General features: G+C 30.4%; 1 long non-coding RNA gene across 2 annotated transcripts in view; it reads right to left on the minus strand.

Moving 5' to 3' along the window:
- Window positions 1-5,695, minus strand: part of LINC01676 (long intergenic non-protein coding RNA 1676) — a 29,242-nt gene extending 23,547 nt beyond the window's left edge. The window contains exon 1 of one of the 2 annotated variants that reach the window (NR_125955.1): window positions 5,619-5,695. This is a non-coding gene — a long non-coding RNA (long intergenic non-protein coding RNA 1676). Of the gene's footprint in view, window positions 1-5,534 lie in introns of both variants that reach the window. The other variant, NR_125954.1, reaches the window with a different exon arrangement.
- Between the last annotated feature and the right edge of the window lie 1,336 nt (window positions 5,696-7,031).

Below are 7,031 nucleotides of genomic sequence, written 5' to 3' on the forward strand. Positions count from 1 at the left end.
TGTCACAAATAATTATAATTTATATGATTTACAATTATGAATGTCTTATGATTTATTCTACATTTTCAATTTATGTCATTCTTAGGTACTTTCTTAAATAACTATGAATCAAAACATATTGAGAAAGCACTAAAAATATTTTTATTACATTCGTAGGCATTAACTATCTTCCTTATATATTCCTTGACATACTTTATTACTTAAATAAAACATATAACTCTATTTAAATAAAAAATGTAAAATTATATTTTAAAACATGGATATTGTTTTGAAATTATGTATATATCATTTTAAATATAATATTTAATTGTATTCATTTCAATAAATTATTTGATTTTGATTTTCTCTACAGTCTTTTGTGGTCACACATTTAATCACAAAACACCTGTGAATTACATAATCTTATTCGTAAAAATTATAGACAGGAACCTAAGCAGAAGATGTTATCGCCAGTTGAACTATGGATGCTTTGTTGTATGACTGCATTTACAAATTATTTGACCTCCTTTAGATTTGGTCTTATGTTGAGTATAGGCAACCTATTTTAAAATAGCCTTCTTCACATTTGTTTTCTAATCAGCACAAAACCATCAACCTCTACCTGGAGAATTGCTGTGAATTTAGAATTTGCAATAAGTGTTGAGTTCTTCATAGTGTGCGAAACAATTTGTATTCATTTTGCCTATTTATATAGAAAAATGTTTGGTCTTGATCATACTCTTGATGATTCAGTAATATTATTCAGAATGATTTATAAAATATTTTCAATTTTTAGCCCTTTAGTTTGTCTTGGATGAAATTTGAAAACATACTTTAACTTTGTTCAAAATTATTTTATTCCACTGTCTAGGAATGTAAAATAATTACAATTTTTGTGTGAATCTTGATGATTACACATGGCTTAAAAATTATTAGCACAATTATTCTTTGAAGGAATGTTACTAACTTTAAATTATTAGACAACATTATACTATGATAATCAGTTTAAAGCTTTTTTCTGAAAAAAAAGGGGCATGTTATCAACTCTAATTTTGGAAATTGTGACAATGTTTAAATGTATATTATTTAAACACAAAGTTTTGTAGCTTTCTCAACCTTCTATGAATGAATGCACGCAATTTTAACCTCTCATTCTATAACTATATATATATATATTTTGAAAGAGTAAGTATAATTTATTTTTTCTTAATCCCTATATTTTTAATAATTTTTTTTTTTTGAGACGGAGTCTCGCTCTGTTGCCCAGGCTGGAGTGCAGTGGCATAATCTCGGCTGACAGCAAGCTCCGCCTCCCGGGTTCATACCATTCTTCTGCCTCAGCCTCCCGAGCAGCTGGGACCACAGGCGCCCGCCACCACGCCCAGCTAATTTTTGTATTTTTAGTAGACACGGGGTTTCACCCTGTTAGCCAGGATAGTCTCGATCTCCTGACCTCGTAATCTGCCCGCCTCAGCCTCCCAAAGTGCTGGGATTAATAAATCTTTATATCACTAATTTAACATTGTTATTAGTTGTCCTAGCATATCTAAAACAATTTTTGTATAAACATTATCTAGCTCTCATAGATATTTGATTTTTAAACATTTTATTTTATAAAAGCAGTCTTATGGGACAAATGTTCACTTTATAGTAGTGTTTCATTGATGTTGATTCTATTTGATAAGTAAAGTTCATCTCCCATGTAAAGCAGAATATTCGTATACCATTTTAGTTATTGACATTTTTTTCTATGCTTCTGATTTTATGAAAAAGAAGTCCAAATTTGAATTATACAAGTAAAATAACACAAACTAACATCAACACAGGAATACCTATTAAATGCACTTTTAAATATATGCATAAATTGCTAACTAGTTTTTAATTTAAGACTATAAACTTGAATGATGGCAGAGTATGAATATATAGCCTGACAATTGTCAACTTACGAGACACAATATTATATTTATTTAAGTGAACAAAATTTTCCATATTCTTATTTTCTATTATTTGTAATCGTCTGAATAAGTACTTAATGCTGAAACTATGTTTTCCCAATGTAATTAAGACAGGGAAATCCTAGAAAAAACTCTAGGAAGGAATTCATGACTAAGTCTTCAAAAACACTTCTAACAAAAACAAAACTTGAAAAGTTTTAATCTAGTTAAACTAAAGAGCTCCTGCAAGGCAGGAGAAACTATGAACAGAGCAAACACACCAGTTACAAAATGAGAGAAAATATTCACAAACTATACATCTGACAAAGGCCTAATAGTCAAAATCTACAAGGAATTTAAACAAATCAATCAATAAACAAACAATGCCATTAAAAAGTAGGCAAAGGCCATGAACAGACACTTCTCAAAAGAAGACATATAAGCGACCAAGAAACATATGGAAAAATGCTCAGTATCACTAATCATCAGAGAAATGAAAATCAAAACACGAGATACCATTTCACACCAGTCAGAATGGCTTTTGTTAAAAAGTCAAAAAATAACAGATGTTGGCTGGATTGCAGAAAAAAAGGGGATTGCAGAAAAAAGGGGAGGCTTATACACGTTGGTAGGAATGTAAATTAGTTCAGCCACTGTGAAGTGCAGTTTGGAGATTTCTCAAAGAACTGAGGGTTGAACTACCATTTAACCCAGCAATCACACTACTGAATACATATGAGAAGAAAAATGAATATTCTACCAAAAGAAAGATGCACCTGTATGTATATCACATCAGTATTCACACAGCAAAGACATGGAATCAACCTATATGCCCATCAACTGTGGAATGGATAAAGCAAATGTGGTCCATATACACTATGGAATACTATGCAGCCATAGTGAGAGAAAAAATCATGTCCTTTGCAGCAGTGTGGATGCAGCTGGAGGCCATTAGCCTAAGCAAATTAATGCCGAAACAGAAAACCAAACATTACATGTTCTCACTTATAAGTGGGAGCTAATCCCTGAATACACATGGACACAAAGAGGGGAACAATGGATGCAGGGGAGTACTTGACGGTGGACGGTGAGAGGAGGAAGAGGATAGAAAAACTAACTATAGGGTACTATGGTTATTATCTGGGTGACAAAATAATCTGTACACCAAACCCCTGCGACACACAATTTATAACAAACTTGTACATATACCCCTGAAACTAAAATCAAAGTTAAAAAAATGAAGAAAAATATAGTGTTTCAGATCCCATCCTGGAACTACTGAAACAGACTCTGGAGGCATGGTCCAGTAATTTACATTTGAAGTAATAATTGATGGTATATTTTTTCCATCCTTTAAATCTATGCATGTTGTAGAATTTGAAGTAAATTTTCCAGTAAACAGCATATGGGTAGGCTGTGTATTTTATCCTCTCTGTCAATTGCTTCTTTAAATTGACATGTTTAACCATGTGCAATTAAAAAAATAATTCTATATCAGAGAAACATTTCCCATTTTATTATTTATCTTCTGCTTGCTTCCTCTGCTTCTTATTCCATTGTTTCTCTTTTTTTTTCGTCTTCTTCTAGGATACTTGAACATGTTTTTAGAATTCTATCTTAATTTTTTTCATAATGCTTTGAGTGTATGTCTTTGTATATTTTTCTTAGTGGTTGCTCTGTGTATTACATTATTCGTATGTGTCTTAGAACAGTCTAATGGTATCAACATTTTAACATTTCAAGTGCAGTGTAGAAGACTGACTTTCATTCAAATATTTTACTTTCTGACTTTTAATTATGATTTTCTTTTTTATCTGATGGTGTCATTATTTTCAATCATCAATATGAATTATACAACTCATGAAGATAGTCTATTGCATGAATTATACAGTGAATGAATTGTCCAACTTGTGAAGGTAGTAAATTGTATGTGTCCACATATCTATTCTTTCAGTTGTATTTCCTTCCCGGTGATCCATGAGTTGTTCTTTTATAATTTCTTTGCTTTATGAAGAACTTCCTTCTGCCATTTTTCAATGATGTCCTCAAGATCTGCTACCCAAATTCTTTTACTACTTCTTTGATATAGAATGTCTTTGCATCCCAAATTCTTTTACTACTTCTTTGATATAGAATGTCTTTGCATCCCCTTCATTCATGATAAAAATTTAACTGGATATAGATTTCATAGTTAATAGTTATCTTATTTCTGCACTTAAAAACATCGTGCAATGTTTTTCTAGACACCATCATGTCAGTTGAGAAGTATGCTGTCATTTGTATTGGTAGGCAATGCATCATTTCTCTCTGGCTATTTTCAAGGTTTTGCTTTGTCTTCAATGTTCAGAAATTTCACTGTGACATGACTTGTTGGGTTTTGGGGGTCTTTATTATATGTAGGGTTTCTTTGAATTTATCCTATTTACAGTTCACTCAGTTTCCTAACTCTGTATATTTATGTATTTTACCACATTTAGAACATTTCTAGTCATTATTTCATTGAATGATTTTGCAGCTCTATTCTCACTTCCCTATTCTTTGATTTTAATGATACAAAAGTTGGATCTGTTTTTCTGCCCCATTTATGTAAATACTGCAAGATATATAGATGGACCCTGACGTCAATGATGGTTTAATTTAACATATTTTTGACTTTATAACTGTGCAAAAAATATATGCATTCATTTAAAATCAAACTTTGAAAACCTATACAACTATTGTGTTTTTCATTCTCACTACAGTGTTTAATAAATTACATGAGATATTTAACACTTTAGTACAAAATAGAATATGTGTTACTTGCTTTTGCCCAACTGTAGGCTAATGTAAGTGTTCTGAGCACATTTAAGCTAGGCTAGGCTAAGCTATGATGTTCTGTAGGTTAGGTGTATTATATGCCTTTTTTACTTATAATATTTTCAATTTATAACAGATTTATTGAGTTGTAACTCCATTGTAAGTCAAGCTGCATCTGAATTTATAATTTTAATGGAGCTTAATAAATGTTGTAAAAATTAACAAAATTGATGGGGGAAAACATTTGAGTTGTGATTCAAAGTCTATTTTTAAATAAAAGTTGTTAATTTAGTAAACTATATATATATATCTTAAAATTAACCAAGAATACATTACTTGTGGTTTATTAGTAGGGTCATAAATGGCATAATAACATATAAATATAAAATATTTACTATAAAATAATGTTAAAACTAACATTAGCTTAAAATGTGTCTAACATATTTTGAGAACATGTATAATTGGAAATATATTTATTATATTATATTTGAGGTATTTTGTTTAGAGACTATATATCAATAGAATACTTCCACTTATGATTCTTTATATCATTACCCCAATCTTGCCAAATAATTTATAATATTCATAATAAAATATATTTCAGATAATGATTCTTGGGGAACTCTTAAGGAACTCTAATGATACTGCTAAAACTATCCATTACAATAAAAAACTCAAAATTATCATAAAATAATCAATGTTCCCTTTATACTTTTAGAGTATAAACTAAAATAATGGAGTTATTATAAAATTTAGCAAATGAATTCTCATTATTTCTCTGTTTGTACTATTTACATTCCCTACTATACAGAGAATGATACTTACAGTAGGAAATTTAGATCATATATCCTTTTTATTAAAAAGCTTCTAAAGCTATCCCGTTTCACTGAGAATATAATACAAATCTACCTCATGTCTTGCTCCTCTTGCTGTCAATCACTCAGCTACTGAATGTGTCTCAACCCAACCATAAACACTCCTGTATTAGGATTCTTGTTAGCTGCTCCTAGAAGATTTTTTCACCAGATTCTGAATGCCTATGATGTCACATTCAGTGTAATAATAAAATGGCCCTATATCAAAGATGCCTGCCCTGGATCTCTTGTCTGAAACAGCCCATCTTTTAATCTTATTCTGCTTTCTTTTTCAAAAGATTATAAATGGGTAAAAAAAGACATAAATCCTATGACACAGCACTAAATGTGGGGAACCAGGAAGTATTATGACAATAAAATTTGTAATTAAGATATTTTATGGGCAAAGTCCTCAATTTTATGATTAACATTAACTAGTATATACATATATATATATGTACCTAGGGCCTACCTTCATGCAGGCAGTTGACTACTAGAGTATAACTTGAAAAATGCTAAAACATTTTCCATTTTTACTACAATGTTTGCCAAGTGCATTGTTTTGTTTTAAAGATATGCTTTTTACTTTTTCTGACTTCATTCAGTTCACATAAAGAGTATAGTCTAGTCAATATTATCTCTTATCGCCCTTGAGAGATACTGCAAATGGGGAAAGGGGCATTTCTTCATTATTGTGTAGAATTGTGTCTAGAGTGGACTAAATTAATTATGTATAGGCTGGAAAAGGATTATGAATATTTTAAAACCTTCTTTATTGTTGTGACATATTTAGAACATTGAGCTGAATGAAAGTCATTGTTAAACACATTTGTTGAGCTAGTAACTGCCAGAAACAATGTAATATGAATAAATATGTACATAAATTTATAAGAGAAAAGTCAATTTTGGGATTTTGGGAATGGATTAAGCAAATATATTTGTATAGAGTAGAGATGTTTGAGAGGAGACTGCTAGATATATAGACTGGAGTAGTAGAGGAAGTCAAAAAGGATTGAACATAAAGAAAGAAATATACCAGTACCAGCTTTCAAATGTTCTACATAGAGGACTAAGTCCCAAATAAAGTAATTTAAAATAAATTTATGAGCATATATAAATGCTTGGACTAACATCATTCATTTTTGTTTCCCAAAAGCTGATTCCTTTATTCTCAGCTTTATTGGGGTTATACTGATAAATATAAATTTTATACAGTTAAAGTGTATAATTTGATTTTTTGATACACTATATATTGTGAGTCACCACAATCATCCTAGTTAACATGTTTGTCACCTCACATGTTAAACTTTTGGTGAGAAGACTTAAGATCTACACTTAACCAATTTCAAATATACAACACAGAATGATTACCTATAGTCAACATTCTGTATATTAGATCTCCAGAACTTATTCATAGTGCATAACTGGAGAAATTCTACAGCATCAATCATAAAAAATATAGCCATAC

Source organism: Homo sapiens, chromosome 1 (genome assembly GCF_000001405.40).
Source record: "Homo sapiens chromosome 1, GRCh38.p14 Primary Assembly".
NCBI classification, from domain to species: domain Eukaryota; kingdom Metazoa; phylum Chordata; class Mammalia; order Primates; family Hominidae; genus Homo; species Homo sapiens.